General features: G+C 36.4%; 1 protein-coding gene across 2 annotated transcripts in view, besides 1 other annotated feature; it reads left to right on the top strand.

The window, feature by feature from the left end:
* The window catches only part of RELN (reelin), a 517870-nt gene that overhangs the window by 189732 nt on the left and 310064 nt on the right, over positions 1-18074 (top strand). The gene's annotated exons all lie outside the window — the stretch shown is intronic.
* Positions 358-558: a silencer, noted in NCBI's record as "peak6667 fragment used in MPRA reporter construct". NCBI's record gives its function as "represses an SCP1 promoter by STARR-seq MPRAs in K562 erythroleukemia cells {active_cell/tissue: K562}" and the evidence as "EXISTENCE:reporter gene assay evidence [ECO:0000049][PMID:32103011]".

Below are 18074 nucleotides of genomic sequence, written 5' to 3'. Positions count from 1 at the left end.
ATCACGTGGTTTTTGTTGATTCTTTAAACCTTCACCATTACCCTATGAGGTGGGTACTATCATTAGTGGGGCACAGAGAGGTTAAGTCACTTATTAATGTGCTTTGCCTCAGTAAGTACTGAAATCAGATTCAGACTCAGATTCCAGGGCCTATGCTCTTCACCACTCTGCTATACACAAATAGAACGCTTAATTATAACTGTGACAAATGCCATGAAAGAAGAGTCAAAGTTACAGTGAGCAGCTGGAATAAGAAATTTGATTTAGTTGGGGAATTTAGTTTAGTTTGGGAAAGGCCTCTCTGAGGAAGACGTTTAAGATGATACCACATCTTGGGATGACTAAGGGATAACTTGGAATTGGCCAGGAAAGAGGATTCCCCCAGACATAATTGGACAGCATGTGCAAATGTTCTGAGGTAGGAGATGGTTAGGTTAGAGGAACTGAAAGCATGAACTGGGCTGTAAGTGTGAGAGGTGACAGAAGAATACTGATAAGAGAGTAACATGAATTACAGAAGCACTGCTCTCTTCCCACAGGGGCACCATTTTTGAGCAGTATCACTTTGCCATGGTTCTAATTGTAGTAGCATCCTATGTAACTAGACCTAGTCATATAAAAATGCAGACTAGGGGTAGATAATGCATTATTTGAGACCATCTTTATCATAGCTGTGTGATTTCCTGTGTGTTTCCTACTCAAGATTGAAGAGACCTGGAAGTACAAAGTATTGGAATCTCTAAATTAGTTACTTAATATAGATAATTTTGGCACCATTTCAATTCAATATTACTAGTAAGGTTGTAACTTCATGGATATTCTTACTGTAAATTGCAATTTTGTTACTAGGTGTGGCTCTCATGGCAACCCAAGACATGTGAGAAGCAAAAAGAAAAGAGGGGGTAGGTCTGAAACCAGTGCTTGAGAAACTGATGCTACATGAGGGAATGGCTATAGGCCCTGGGCAAAGACCGAGGGTCACTGATACTTGGGTTTCCCTTGGTTGGAGCCCAGTGACAGAAAATTTTGGTAGCTAACACAGAAGCGGGAGGAAGGCTGGTTTGGAGCTAAAGCTCTAGCTGTGGGTGACCATGGTATAAACTTGAGAACACAAAAACATTTGTTCGTTGCTTTATCTCCTGTACCTAAAATAGAGCCTGGCATTATAACCTACTTCTAAGGAGGTATGCACCTAGATAGAAGCCCTAAACACTGAGATAGCATGGAAGCGGGCAAAGCAATGCCCTAGAGATGTCCTCATGGGAAAGGGGTCCTGGGTCTGCCTGGCTGAGGAGATTTATAGAGAACAACATGGGTGCTCAGGAATGATGACTGGCCCCTAAGATCCTATATCTGAGAAGTCAGATAAATTCTAAACCTTACTGGGTAACAGGCCAAACCGCTATATTCTTCTTCCTGGCCTTATAACTGGTTTAGCTTCACCTTTTGAGTGACAGGCATGATTACCTGCCAGGCAGATATTCATGGGCATTAGCTCATTGAGTCTTCCCAACGATAACAGGTAGGCCTCATTATTGCCAGTGTTTTACAGATAAATAAATGGAGGCTTAGAGACATTACTTAATTTGCCAAAGATCTTAATACTATGGAGTATTGTAGCTAAGATTTGAACCTAGATTTGACTGCAGAGCTCATGTTCTTAATCACAATACCTTTCTCCTTAAAATACATATTTGTTTTCAAATTGCTATCAGAAGAAGACTGTAGCTGGTAAAGGCTCACAATGAGGTATATTCAGTAACATAACTGCTCCAGAATTTATTTGGCAAAGGCAGTGAGTAGTACTGTCCAGGGCTGGGCAGTCAGAGATGTCTTCACATGGAACTAACTCCCAAGAGTACGGAGCAGGGAAAGCCTAAAGAAGCAAAATGATGGCTGACCAAAGGCACAAATCACAGTGCATGTAGAATCCACACAAAAATATTTTAATCCGTGACTTATTGCCATAATTAATGATTTGTTGTTTTCTCTCAAATGAAAATGACTTTGTCAGATGTAGTGATTGAGGAAGCTAATTACACATAGCTGCACAGGGCCAGCCCCAGGCAAAATTGAATGTCTTTTGGCTTTGATTTGTTACCTCCTTTCTTGGCAGCATTTCTTTCCCTTCACAATTCCTTTATATACACCACATGCCCCGGATTTTCATGCTGCCCTTATCTCTCCTTCCAGAAGAAAATTGATGTAATAAATGAGTTCATAATAGGGTTGGTTGGTAATTTAATAAATTACACTGCCTGGAAATTTTTGTATTTACAAAAGGGGTCTCACTAACTGCGATATGGTATCTTGGACTGGATATTGGAGGGATAAAGGATATTATCAGAAAAATAAAAAAACTAGTAAAATCGGAATGTTAATTTCTTAAGGACAAATGAACCACGGTTATGTAAGAAGTTAACAGTAGGGAAAGTTGGGTGAAAAGCATTTGTGAACTCTCTTGTTCTATCTTGGCATTGTTCTAATCTTAGCAACTTTTCCATCAGTCTAAAATGATTCCTGGCCAGGCACAGTGACTCACACCTGTAATCCCACTACTTTGGGAGGCCAAGCCAGGTGGATCACCTGAGGTTGGGAGTTCGAGACCGCCTAGCCAACATGGTGAAACCCCATCTCTACTAAAAATAATACAAAAATCAGCTGGGCATGGTGGTGGGTGCCTGTAATCCCAGCTACTCGGGAGGCTGAGGCAGGAGAATCACTTGAACCTGCAGAGGCAGGTCGAACCTGAGGCAGAGGTTGCGGTGAGCCAAGATAGCACCATTGCACTCCAGCCTGGGTGACAAGAGCGACGCTCTGTCTCAAAAAAATGAAATAAATAAAATAAAATGACTCCCAAATAAAACATTTAAAGGAGTAAAAGGAACTTACGGAGAGATCAATTAATATTCTAAAGAATAAATCTCTAAGTAAGAAATTTTAGGCAGGCAGGTCTTACCACAGAAGTATATAAGGATGGTTCCATAGTTATGTATCCTTACTTTCTTTTTCTTTTTCTTTTTCTTTCTTTCTTTTTTTTTTTTTTTTTTTGTGAGATGGAGTCTAGCTCTCTTGCCCTGTTGCCTGGGCTGGGCTGCAGTGCAGCGGGGCAATCTTGGCTCACTGCAACCTCCGCCTCCCAGGTTCAAGCGATTCTTCTGCCTCAACCTCCCGAGTAGCTAGGATTACAGGCATGTGCCACCACGCCTGCCTAATTTTTGTATTTTTAGTTGAGACAGGTTTTTGGCATGTTGGCCAGGCTGGTCCTGGCCTCAAGTGATCTGCCCACCATGGCCTCTCAGAGTACTGGGATTACAGTCGTTCGTCACCACACCCAGACTGTATCCATTTACTTTCTACAGACTCTAAGTTTCTTGACTATTTCTCTCTTTGGTAAATTTTGGATGCTATGAATTGTATCCAGGGAAAGAAGATTATTTCTATTCTTCTCACTACAACAAATGATACTGAAAGACAAAATCCAAACCACAAATTAAAATTGCAAAACAAGAAGTACAGATGTTTTTCATCTCTGGGAATGATGATAGATTCCAGAAATTTGAATTAGGCAAACATTAATTGATGTGCTGGGAGATGAGTAATTAAGAAGAACTAAGGTCACAAAATTGCTATTGTTTTAAAATATCAGAAAAATAACAAACTCATTTGCGTTTCCAAATACTCACATAGTGTTTCTTCTTTATGTAATGGTAATATGGAAATCAGTATTCTGTATGACCTAATTTAAAGGGATAAGTGCTTGAGTACATACACTCAGTTCAGTGTTCCAAAATAATTTACTGCATATAACTCCAGGGATATTTAAATTATATAAAGAGTTTAAAAACATGATTTCCATATTGAAATAGGTAGACCAACTAGTTGGCACTGTGTCAGATGAGAGACAATAGAAGCTTGTTCTATTATTTACACAAATTGACTGGTTTGGCAGTTGCTACAGCAATGAGCCATAATGAACTACAGAAAAATGAAAATGTGATTTCTTTAGCACTATACAAAAATGGAATATTTACAGAAAGGCAGAGAATGACTTACAAGAGCCCTAGCTGTGTCAAAATGGTATTCCTTGTTGCTACTTATCCAGAATGTAATCCAAATAGTGTATGTTTACTGGGGCAAAATTGTAATGATGGGCCATTATTTTCCTGCTGTTAGTAAGGGGACTGTGCTTTGTAATTCCAAAGGAATTTAAAATGTTCATTTTCCATGATTTACTTTTCACTTTTGACTATACCTTTAACCTGCCTTTGTTTGCAAAAACAAAGTAGTGAAGTTCCTGAAATTGGATGTTTTGTTCATGTCTTCCCAGCAAAGGGAAAAATAAACTCATAAAGCATATGACTCTACTCTAAAATACCTAATTTTTTGATGAGTTGATTCAGTCTCTTTTGCTCTGTTAGGAAGTTCTTGGCTTTTTTGTTACAGTTTTGGCTTTGAACTTTCATGTTTATACCTTATATTTTTGTCCCCTCCCGATTATCCACACTGGATCTCCTGTAACAATATTTTGTTCACTTCCAGGAAAGACCTTTTAAACAAAAACACTGCACATTTTGACTTGCCCAAGCCTAAGGGCTGTGTTAGTCAACACAGTAAATTCACAGAAAATGTGAGTCAGACAAGACAACTTTCTAAAGCCAATACTTAGCTTGAGCCTGTGAGGACCATTTATATAGATATCTACTGCAGAGTGTGTGTTTGTCAAATCTTTCTTTTCTCTTTTGCCCAAAGCAATGCAGGAAGCTTGTTATGATTGTTCCATACAAATTGACTTCAATAGATAATACTAGTTGGCATTAGGGAATATTATATATAATTAAACACCTAGACTTCAATAGAAAATACTAGTTGGCATTAGGGGATATTATAGAAAATTAAACTCCTAGACATGAGCCAAATTTGAAACATTTATCATAGTGTAAGTGTCAAAATGCATATGTATTCAGTATGGTAAGCACGATGTTCTGTGTAAATATTGAAATTTTGATATGGGCTGAGTTCTTACAAACCTATATACCAGGGTTTCTGAATCAGCTGTGATTTTACCTATGCTCCCAGGGGACATTTGATAATATCTGGAGACATTTTTTTGTTGTCATACCTAGCATCTAGTGGTGCTACAGGTGCTGCTAAGTATTCTACAATGCACAGGAAAGCCCCCCTACAGCAAAGAATGATCCAATTTAAATAAATGTCCAGTAGTGCAGTAGTGCTAAGGTTGAGAAGCTCTGCCTGTTCAGTTTGTAAATGACTTTACCAAAGACAACTCGGGAATTGCATCATTTCATATGGTGTCCTTTTTGGCTCATGGGAGAATCCTACTTCAGTGAAAAATTATTCTTTCTGCCTGTTTTTGTTGTTGTTGTTGCAACTTAGATATGCATGTGATATGCATCTACCAAGGAAAGTGAAAAATCAAAGGGGACTGGAAGATAATCCACTGCCAGGCCAAGAGGATAAAGTTTAATCCTTACCAAAGGGTCTTTGGTTGGGGAAAGAAGGAATAAAACAGCTTGCTGATAGTGATGGTTGTGACAGGAATGGAAGTTGTTACTTAGAGGAAGCATGAAATCTGTCCTACTCATAGGGGGATATATAGCAGTTCGTCTGTTCAGACTAGTAGTTTTCGAGCCTGGCTACAGTTGGAATCATGTGTGCCTGAACCTTGAGCCCAGAGATTCTAAATTAAGCGGTCAAGAGTGGAGCATGGCAATGTGTATATTTTTAAAGTTGCCCATTTCTAGAATCACTAGTCTAGATAGTTTAGTATCAGCATTTTAAATACCCTTAAAATTAAAAAAAATTACCTACAAAATTAAAAAATATTACTTCTGTTTATGGCCAGGCACTGTGGCTCATGCTTGTAATTGCAGCACTTTGGGAGGCTGAGGCAGGTGGATCACTTGAGGCCAGGAGCTCAAGACCAGCCTGGCCAACATGGTGAAACCCCATCTCTACTAAAAGTACAAAAATTAGCCGGGCGTATGGGTGTGCACCTGTAGTTCCAGCTACTCTGAAGGCTGAGGCACGAGAATGACTTGTACCTGAGAGGCAGAGGCTGCAGTGAACCGAGACTGTGCCACTGCACTTTAGCCTGGGTGACAAAGCAAGAGTCTGCCTCAAATAAACAACCTTCTGTTTAGCAAAATGTTCACTTGTACTACCGATGACAACCACTGTCACTCTGACTGTCCTTTCCCATCTCTTGTTCCTTTTGCTTTCCCTGAAAATACACCTGCTAGGGCCACTGTCTGTTTTTCACTAGCCTCTAAAGTTTCTTATTAGACTTGTGCTGGAACTTTTACTATTCTAAAATTGGATTTACTAATGACAGAGCTGGTAATAATCACCAGGACTATCACCTGGATGCTTAGCAACATGGCAATGCTGGAATTTTCATGAAACACTGAGAAGAGTCAGTCTAATTATGGTTCTATGTAGACTTAAGGGAGTGTATTTCTAGGTGAGGAGGACACAGAATAAAATCAGCTGTAATCCAGACAACATCCTCAGCATTCATTTTGGTTACTTCAATTCTTTAATTTATCAAAACATGGTACACATGACTGCTTTGGAATATACTTGTAAGAGTTGTAGATTTGCCTGAGTGAGGCCAAAGGGCTTTGCTATACATATGCTAGATGACTTAAAGGGACTTTTAATTAATCATTACATCAATAATTTAATGTGTTTTCTTTCATCTAAATGTGTCCTGAGGCAGGTAAAAGAAGAACTACTTATACATTGCAAAAGAAAAATTATTCTCTCCCTGGGCTCAAAGTTGCATGTAATATATAGAAATTCAACTTTGGTTCAATTGAAATTTGGTTGCAATTTGAGGCTTTATAGTTTCCTTGGGTCACCTATTGCATTCTTTTTAATGAAGCATTGAAGGACCACAGTATTTAAAAAATACTAATTTAGTTTTGTTCTCTGCATGTTTCAAGCAACAAAAATGTATTTTTTCCATTATAATATCAGTCTCAAAAAACAGATGTCCCCAGAACACACCAGACTGTCCCCAGTATTATTATGCTTCCATTTCCTATTAGCTTATCTACAGCCTTCCAGAATATATTTCCATTTTATTTTTTAATAACAGCTTTATTGAGATATAATTCACTTCCCATAAAATTTATCCCTTTAAACTATACAATTAGGTGGCTTTTAGTATATCCACAGATATACTAAAAAGTTTCACAATTATAAAAATTTTAGTATATCCACAGATATACTAAAAGTTTCACAATTATAAAAATTTTTATAACATTTTTATTACCCCTAAAAGACACCCTGCACCCATTAGCTGTCAGTTTACATTTCCCCATCCCCCCATCCCCCCATCCCCCGGAAACCACTACTAATCTATGTTCTGTCGCTATAGAATTGCCTATTCTGGACATTTCATATAAATGGAATCATATAATATATAGGATTCTCTGACTGGATTTTTTTCACTTTGCATATTTTCAAGGTTGATTGATATTGTAGCATGAACGGTACTTCATTTCCATTTATGGTTGAATAATATTCCGTTGTATGGATATATACCACATTTTATTTAGCCAATCATCTGTGGACAGACATTTAGGTTGTTTCCACTTTTGCCTATTATTAATAATGCTTCTGAGAACATTTGTGTATACATTTTTTTCTCTGTGAACATGTGTTCATGTGTTTCTTGTGTATACAACTGCAAGTGGAATTGCTGGGTCACACAGTAACTCAATGTTTAACATTCTGAGGCATTGCCAAACTGTTTTCCAAAGTGGCTATACCATTTTTATTCCCACCAGCAATATTTGAGGATTACAGTTTCTCCACATCCTTGTCAACACTTATTATTGTCTATCTTTTTTTATTCTATCTTGTGGGAGTAGAATGGTATTTCATTTCATTGCATTTCCCTAATATTAATGATGTTGAGCATCTTTTCATGTGTTTATTGACCATTTGTATTTTTTCTTTGGATAAATGTCTGTTCAAATTGTTTGCCCATTTTTAAATTGAGTTACTTATTTTTTATTGAGTTGTAAAGAGTTCTTCATATATACTGGATACTATTTCTTTATCAGATATATGATTTGCAAACATTTTCTCTCATTCTGTGGGTCTTTTTTTTTAAAAACTTTTTAAATGGTATCCTTTGTTGCACAAAGGTTTTAATTTTGATAAAGTTCTATTCATCTATTTTTTTCTTTCACCTTTCATGTTATATTTAAGAAACTGCTGCCAAGTATCAAGTCATGAAGATTTATCCCTATGTTTTCCTTTAAGAGTTTTACAGTTTTAGTTATATTACACTTAAATCTATGATCCATTTTGTTAATTTTTGTATATGGTGTGAGGTAGAGGTCTAACCTCATTCTTTTGCATGTGGATATCCAGTTGACTGAACATTATTTGTTTTAAAGACCTCTTTCTTCATGGAATTATCCTGTCAGAAATTAACCATAAATGTAAAAGTATACTACTGGACTCTCAATTCTGTTCTATTGATCTATACATCTGTTTTTATGGCAGTATCACATTGTCTTGATTATGGTAACTTTGTGGTAAATTTTGAAATAAGGAAGTGCAAGTCCTCCAGCTTTCTTCTTTATCATGATTATTTTGACTCTTCTGAGCCCCTTGCATTTACATTTTAGAATTAGCTATCAATTTCTGGAAAATACCCAGCTGAGATTTTGAGAGGTATCATGCTGAATCTGTAGATCCATTTAGGTAGTATTGCCATCTTAAGAGTTCACCTTCTAAGTCATGAACATAAGATGTTTTTCCATTTATTTCCATCTTTTTTTTTCAGTGATGTTTAGTAGTTATGTACAAGTCTTACACTTCTTCTGCAAGTTTATGACTAAGTACCTTATTCTTTTCAATGAGTTTATAAATGGAATTGTTTTCTTTCTGTCTTTTTTTGGTTTTTTGTTTGTTTGTTTGTTTTTGAGACAGAGTCTTGCTCTGTTGCCCAGGCTGGAGTGCAGTGGCGCGATCTGGCACACTGCAACCTCCGCCTCCCAGATTCAAGCGATTCTTCTGCCTCAGCCTCCCGAGTATCTGGGACTACAAGCATGCACCACCACACCTGGCTGATTTTTGTATTTTCAGTAGAGACAGGGTTTCACCATATTGGCCAGACTGGTCTCAAACTCCTGACCTCATGATCCACCCGCCTCAGCCTCCCAAATTCCTGGGATTACAGGCATGAGCCACCACGCCTGCCTATTTTCTTCTTTAAAGGACACCAATCCTATGACCAGGGCACTACCCTCATGATCTCATCAGCCTCCCAAAGACCCCATCTCCAAACTCTATCACATTGGGAGTTAGGGTAATGACATATGAATTTGGAGGGGCGGAGGGTGGGACACAAACATGAAGTTCATAACAAAAGCATTAAGTGCTTATGCCCATATTTTGACTACCCCAGGCCTGGAAATACATCTTAAAATGCAAGAGATATGGTCAAAGGTTTATACACTTCATTATTTAAAATTATATAGAAGTAAAATTCCAACAACAGTAGAATAAAGAAACTATGATATAGCTATCCAGTGGAATATTATTTTATTATTATTATTATAGTTCTGGAATACATGTGCAGAACATGCAGGTTTGTTACATAGTTATACATGTGCCATGGTGGTTTGCTGCACTCGTCAACCCATCATCTACATTAGGTATTTCTCCCAATGCTATCACTCCCCTTGTCCCCGCCCCCACAACAGGCCCTACTGTGTAATGTTCCCCTCCCTGTGGGCATGTGTTCTCATTGTTCAACTCCCACTTATGAGTGAGAACCTGCAGTATTTGGTTTTCTGTTCCTGTGTTAGTTTGCTGAGAATGATGGTTTCCAGCTTCATCCATGTCCCTGCAAAGGACATGAACTCATTCTTTTTTATGGCTACATAGCATTGTGTGGTGTATATGTCCCACATTTTCTTTATCCAGTCTAACATTAATGGGCCATTTGGATTGGTTCCAAGTCTTTGCTATTGTGAATAGTGCCGCAGTAAACATACATGTGCATGTGTCTTTATAGTAGAATGATTTATAATTCTTTGGGTATATACCCAGTAATGGGATTGCTGGGTGCAATGGTATTTCTAGTTCTATATCCTTGAGGAATCACCACATTGTCTTCTACAATGGTTGAACTAATTTACACTCCCACCAACAGTGTAATAACATTCCTATTTCTCCACATCCTCTCTAGCATCTGTTGTTTCCTGACTTTTTAATGATTGCCATTCTAACTGGTGTGAGATGGTATCTCATTGCGGTTTTGATTTGCATTTCTCTAATGACCAGTGATGATGAGCTTTTTTTCATATGTTTGTTGGCTGTATAAATGTCTTCTTTTGAGAAGTGTCTGTTCATATCCTTCACTCACGTTTTGATGGGGTTGTTTTTTTCTTGTAAATTTAAGTTCCTTGTATATTCTGGATATTAACCCTTTGTCAGTTGGATAGATTGCAGAAATTTTCTCCCATTCTGTAAGTTGCCTGTTCACTCTAATGATAGTTTCTTTTGCTCTACAGAAGCTCTTTAGCTTAATTAGATCCCATTTATCAATTTTGGCTTTTGTTGCTGTTGCTTTAGGTGTTTTAGTCATGAAGTCTTTGCCCATGCCTGTGTCCTGAATGGTATTGCCTAGGTTTTCTACTAGGGATTTTATGGTTTTAGGTCTTGCGTTAAAATCTTTAATTCATCTTGAGTTAATTTTTGTGTAAGATGTAAGAAAGGGTTCTAGTTTCAGTTTTCTGCATATGGCTAGCCAGTTTTCCCAGCACCATTTATTAAATAGGGAATCCTTTCCCCATTGCTCGTTTTTGTCAGGTTTGTCAAAGATCAGATGGTTGTATTTGTGTGGTGTTATTTCTGAGGCCTCTGTTCTGTTCCATTCGTCTATGTATCTGTTGTTTTGGTACCAGTACCATGCGGTTTTGGTTACTGTAGCCTTGTAGTACAATTTGAAGTCAGGTAGCATGACACCTCCAGCTTTGTTCTTTTTGCTTAGGATTGTCTTGGCTATATGGGCTCCTTTTTGGTTCCATATGAAATTTAAAGTAGTTTTTTCTTCTAATTCTGTGAAGGAAGTCAATAGTAACTTGATGGGGATAGCATTGAATCTATAAATTACTTTGGGCAGTATATTTTCACGATATTGATTCTTCATATCCATGAGCATGGAATGATTTTCCATTTGTTTGTGTCCTCTCTTATTTCCTTGAGCAGTGGTTTGTAGTTCTCCTTGAAGAGTTCCTTCACATCCCTTGTAAGTTGTATTCCTTGGTATTTTATTCTCTGTCGCAATTGTGAACGGGAGTTTGCTCATGATTTGGCTCTCTGTTTGTCTATTATTGGTTTATAGGAATGCTTGTGATTTCTGCACATTGACTTTGTATCCTGAGACTTTGCTGAAGTTGCTTATCAGCTTAAGGAGATTTTGGGCTGAGACGATGGGGTTTTCTAAATATACAATCGTGTCATCTGCAAACAGAGACAATTTGATGTCCTCTTTTCCTAATTGAATACCCTTTATTTCTTTGTCTTGCCTGATTACCCTGGCCAGAACTTCCATTACTGTGTTGAAGAGGAGTGGTGAGAGAGGGCATCCTTGCCTTGTGCCGATTTTCAAAGGGAATGCTTCCAGTTTTTGCCCATTCAGTATGATATTGGCTGTGGGTTTGTCATAAATAGCTCTTATTATTTTGAGATACATTCCATCAATACCTAGTTTATTGAGTGTTTTTAGCATGAAGCAGTGTTAAATTTTATCGAAGCCCTTTTCTGCATCTATTGTGATAATCATGTGGTTTTTGTCATTGGTTCGTTCTGTTTATGTGATGGATTACGTTTATTGATTTGGATATGTTGAACCAGCCTTGCATCCCAGGGATGAAGCCCACTTGATCATGGTGGATAAGATTTTTGATGTGCTGCTGGATTCGGTTTGCCAGTATTTTATTGAGGATTTTTGCATCGATGTTCATCAGGGATATTGGCCTGAAATTTTCTTTTTTTGTTGTGTCTCTGCCAGGTTTTGGTATTAGGATGATGCTGGCCTCATAAAAAGAGTTAGGGAGGATTCCCTCTTTTTCTGATGTTTGGAATAGTTTCAGAAGGAATGGTACCAGCTCCTCTTTATACCTCTGGTAGAATTTGGCTGTGAATCCATCTGGTCTTGGACTTCTTTTGGTTGGTAGGCTATTATTTACTGCTTCAATTTCAGAACTTGTTACTGTTTTATTCAGGGATTTGACTTCTTCTTGGTTTAGACTTGGGAGTGTGTATGTGTCTAGGAATTTATCCATTTCTTCTAGATTTTCTAGTTTATTTGTGTAGAGGTGTTAATCATATTCTCTGATGGTAGTTTGTATTTCTGTGGGATCAGTGGTGATACCCCGTTTATCATTTTTATTGTGACTATTTGATTCTTCTCTTTTCTTCTTCTTTATTAGTCTGGCCAGTGGTCTATCTATTTTGCTAATCTTTTCAGAAAACCAGCTCCTGGATTCATTGATTTTTTTTTTAAGGGTTTTTCAGTTCTGCTCTGATCTTAGTTATTTCTTGTCTTCTGTTAGCTTTTGAATTTGTTTGTTCTTGCTTTACTAGTTCTTTTAATTGTGTGTTAGGGTGCTGATTTTAGATCTTTCCTGCTTTCTCCTGTGGGCATTTGATGCTATGAATTTCCCTCTAAACACTGCTTTTACTGTGTCCCAGAGATTCTAGTATGTTGTGTCTTTGTTCTCATTGGTTTCAAAGAGTTTATTTATTTGTGCCTTAATTTCGTTATTTACCCAGTAGTCATTCAGGAGCAGGTTTTTCAGTTTCCATGTAGTTGTGAGGTTTTGAGTGAGTTTCTTAATGCTGAGTTCTAATTTGATGGCACTATGGTCTGAGAGACTGTTATGATTTCCTTTCTTTTCCATTTGCTGAGGAGTGTTTTACTTCTAATTATGTGGTCAATTTTAGAATAAGTGTGATGTGGTGCTGAGAAGAATGTATATTCTGTTGACTTGGGGTGGAGAGTTCTGTAGATGTCTTTTAGGTCCGCTTGGTCCAGGACTGAGTTCAAGTCCTGAATATCCTTGTAAATTTTCTGCTTCGTTGATCTGTCTAATATCGACAGTCGGGTGTTAAAGTCTCCAACTATTATTGTGTGGGAGTCTAAGTCTCTTTGTAGGTCTCTAAGAACTTGCTTTATGAATCTGGATGCTCCTGTATTGGATGCATATATATTTAGGATAGTTAGCTCTTCTTGTTGCATTAATCCCTTTACTATTATGTAATGCCCTTCTTTGTCTTTTTTGATCTTTGTTGGTTTAAAGTCTGTTTTATCAGATACTAGGATAGCAACCCTTGCTTTTTTTTTTTTTTTTTTTGGTTCCATTTTCTTGGTAAATCTTTCTCCATCCCTTTATTTTGGGCCTATGTGTGTCTTTGCACATGAGATGGGTCTCCTGAATACAGCACATTGATGGGTTGGCCTTTAAAAATCTTGTTTGAAAAGTACTTAATGACATGGCAACTATTTATAATAAATATTAAACATAAGCAAATAGAAAACAGCTGTTTAGGGAAGCAATTTTTTAAACAACTTTATATTAATTTTAAAAACTACAAGGGTATATGATTTACTAAAATATGAATAGTGATTATCTCTCCTTAGTATGAATATGACTAATTTTATTTTCACATTAATACTTTTATGTATTTAAAATTTTTCATAATACAAGTTACCTTTATAACGGAAAAAAAGTTTTTTAATATTGTATGCTATAGTAGAGGCTTGCTTTACAACTTATTTCCTTCAAAGCAACACTTGTATGTACTTTGGCAGGATTTCTTTGCAGGAAAACACCATTACTGTCCTAATTTGTTATGATTAATTAACTAGGTTAGAAATCATATCCCTTATTGGAGCTTTCATTGACTTCATCACAGTCAAAAAAAAAAATGGAGTTTACAGTCTTCCCTTTTTTTCCTTTTAAGATCAAAAACAGCTTTTGATCTTAAATCCTATAGAATGTGCTCCTTTAATTCCCTTTCAATTCTGTGCTATATTCTGAAGTGACCAACCAGACATTATCATCATAATTCCTTATATTTTCCACAATATTTTCACAGAGTTGATCACATTTGATTTTCATCACAGCCCTGAAAATAAATAGCACAACATTTCTAGTCCTATCTCAGAAAATTAACACTCATATAAGATCAACATAAATCATTGAGCTGTGGTGCAAACCCACATCTTCTGATTCCAGATCTGCTGTTTGAACCTTAAAATTGTTCAGTCCATTCAGTTTATTTCATAGATTAAGAAAGTAAGACACACAGAAGTTAAGTGACACAGTATAAATCATGGAGGTAATGGATGCCCATCCTAGAGCAAAACTCCGCTTCTTCTATTGTGGAAACTAGTGCTCTTTCTTTGAGTCCACTTAAATGTGATACTTAAATACTTTGCATACATCTTTCAGCAAATTTACAGACTGTTTAATTCATATCCAGCAGAAAACATTGTTTTTTACTAGGATTTTCTTTGGAATTGACATGCCATTTTTCCAGTTTTGTTCTTGCCTTGCCTAAGAATGCCTCTGAGACAAGTGACCATAGGCTTACTTAATTAAAAGGTGTTTAAAACAGCAGAGCCTCTCAAATAATTTTAATGATTTTAAAAGGTGGTGTGGAAAGCATTTTTATTTTAATGTTTTAGAAGGCATTTCCAGAATACAGTTAGTTTAAGGATACTCTGGAAGATGTTAAATGATGAAACGTATTGTAATAATAAAGCAAATACATCAGCTTATTTACTTTTACTGTTCTTGCTGTTAACTGATTTCCAAGATAAATCTTACTTATAACAATGTTTGTCTTGACTATTATTATCATCTAATCATCTTTTTCATAGTGTTTCTTATGCAGTAGCTTGCTGGTTACTTTTTAAAGCATTTAACATTCTGTATCAAGTGTAACATACATTAATCATTCACCCATTTCACAAACATTTACTGCATGGATGCTTTATGTCAATTATCAGGTAAAATATTAAAAAGGAAACAGACTAAAATCCCTGTGCCTAGGGTACACATAACATAACAAAGAAGACATAATCCAAAAAGAATGTTTTCTGAGTTTATATCATATGCCAACAGGGCCAAGGTAAGAAATGTGAGCACCTAAAGCAGACTAATAATTAACACCCCTTCAGGTTCATAATCCATAATGGTTTGTTGAATAATTATTAGAAGAGGCAGAGAGAACATCATCTTTTTATTAAGAAAAAATTATGTATCCTTTTTGCCGTTATTCATAATCAAGGATCCATTAGTTGTGAACCAGGAAAAACCAGGAAAATTTCTGATAAAACCCAAATAGAGCCATTTTAAATTTAAACAATAAAAAGTCACTCACTCTTGGTAGACAGCACTCCTGCATTCAGTTTTCGAAATGTGGATGCTTTCACATGCTTACGCCAGGTCACTGTTAGCTGGGCTGCTCTGAGGATTTCACCTCTTACTGACGTAGGTGAGGGCTGCTGAGGAATTTTTTAATCTGCATTTCTCATTTGACTTTACTCATAAAGTTATTTTCTCCTGAAATAAATTACATATTCCTGGAAATTAAAGTTAATCCTAAATGTGAGTTGGGAACTTTTGACACATTTGACACCTTAATGGTGATCCTCCTTGATACATACATCAGTCCAATCAACGTCCCCTTTCATTAAAACTTTGTGATAATCATGAGAAATTTGTCATTTCTTCCTTTTACTAGACGAGCCATTCTTCTGCATATGAACAAAATAAAATGTGGTTTAATCTGCTTGTGGGTATCTTCCCTCCCCAGATTCACTTCATTGGTGATTTACAAAGGATATATAACTCTGCCAATGATAAATGTCTCCTTCTCTTTGCTGTTACATATCCTGCAACTACCAAGTGTTTTTCACTGAAATGATTACTCTTTATTTCAATGCAAAATCATTTAGTGATGTTATTAAAAACACTTTAAGTAAAACAGTTCATACTACATGTGGCTGAATGCTTACAATACCATGGATGAACAAATACTGTCAGATGAACGTAAAGCCTCCATCTCCATTTCAGGAGTTTGCTGAATCACTTTGGAAGAAAGCTAAGTTACTATTAACCATTCATTGATTTGCCATACTTAAAGGATTTCATCTGCATGTTCCTTCTCTTGCTAATAAAAAGTACACTTTGATCACAAATCAAGGTTAAACCATCTATTTGGTAACCTTTAAGGACAGGTAGACTTTGTGATTACTGGATAATGAACATTAATACTGAAATTTGTTGTTTTCAAGGAGATAAAGTATTTATACATTTGACAGAAAAAAAATTCTGTGGCTTAGGAATAAAAGATGTAACTATAAAAACAATTAGGGCAGTAAAGATAGCAAAAGCATTGTGAAAACATACAGAATCCTTTGCTTATTTTGCAATGGCTTTGCCATAGTTGAAGTTGAGAGTTTAACAAAAATAATTACTCCTTGAAGCTATTCATTTCTCTTTTTTATGGGTTTTGAAGCGAGTTTTTTTCTTATTTTGATAAACATCAATATATATCCCCAAATTAGAATGCACTGTACGTTTTATGCTTTTAATCCCAGCACTTTGAGAGGGCAAGGTGGGAGGATTGTTTGAGCCCAGGAGTTAAGATTAACCTGGGTGACATAGTGAGACTTTGTCTTAAAAAAAAAAAAAAAGAAAGAAAGAGAAAAGAAAGTACTGTAATTTGCTGATACAAAGGGATAAGAATTTTAAAGGGTGAATTGATTCCTTTGAAGATCAAATTTACCGAACTCAGATCAACTCTTTTTTCCCCCATATTCCACATATTTAGTTACCTTTCCTGAAGGGTGGCTTGGCACAGGCATACTGAATTACACAAGACTAACTTCAGAATGCTGATTAACGAATGCTCTTCCAGCTGTAAAATGGACAAGTCAACTAATATACCAGACCTCATTAACAAAGCAGTAGATAGAAAAAGCAACCCACCCCTGGAGGTAAAGTGCATTGTCATAGGTTTAAAAATGAACCAGCTGGTATGATTCTTTAGGTTAATCTATGAGCAAATTGATTCATGAAATCAACAAATAGTAATACACTTGGGAATTTAGGCATTATAGCAAGTATATTAAAATACTTTTGTATTCCTTCTTTGTAAACTAGATGGCAATACATGGTAAGCAAATTATGGAGTGAAAAATATAAATCAAATACAAATATAAGTCAAAAATATAAATACCTCTGATTCCTTCATATGTTCAAATCATTATGACCAATGCCTTGTGGGGGATAATTTCTTTTTATTTACTGATTCCTATTCCAGAAGCTTGAAATCTATTTAGGTGGAGAGACTGTAGGTATTTAAGAGTGAATATTAATATCTTGAAGTAATAGTTATTATTTCAAGTTATCCCTATCCTCAGATAGGGAGTCTGTTGCCTAGAGTGATTAAAGAAGTTGTCCAAAGTCATGTAGCTCATAAGTGGCACCTAACTGTGTTCTGTCACTGGTCTTTCTCCTTGCAGAGACTATACCTCAGCCCTGTGCCGCAGCAGAATGCACGCTTAATTCTTAAATGCTTTGGGCATACAGCTACTCTGTTGTTTAGTTAGGTTGAAAATATCACAGGCTTTTTTTAAATCATGACAATAAATGCTTTTTCAAGCACTGAATATGATGATCATAATGAACTTTCTTCATTTTGGAGAATCTATAGAGCTTTTAAAATGTTAGGTAGTAACAGTCCAAAGGGATTTTAAAATTACTTAGTTAATAGGGGCTCTTGTTGGCAAGTTTGCCTTAGAGATCTGTGCATCTCCCAAGAAGGAGATAAGTGCTTATTAGAAACGTGTTTAAGAAACTTGGTCTACTTTCCAAAATAGTAAACAATGAGGATATTTCCTGAACTCTTAAGAAAAATTATTTCTAATTATGTAAAATTAAGTGCAAATAGTACCAGCATAGTTAATAACACCATCAGTGTGATGGACCTTCCCCCCGAGAGAC

The sequence above is a fragment of the Homo sapiens genome, chromosome 7 (assembly GCF_000001405.40).
Source record: "Homo sapiens chromosome 7, GRCh38.p14 Primary Assembly".
In the NCBI taxonomy this organism is placed as follows: Eukaryota; Metazoa; Chordata; class Mammalia; order Primates; family Hominidae; genus Homo; species Homo sapiens.
The sequence above is the reverse complement of the archived record's forward strand: the minus strand, read 5'-3'. Positions and strand labels throughout refer to the sequence as shown.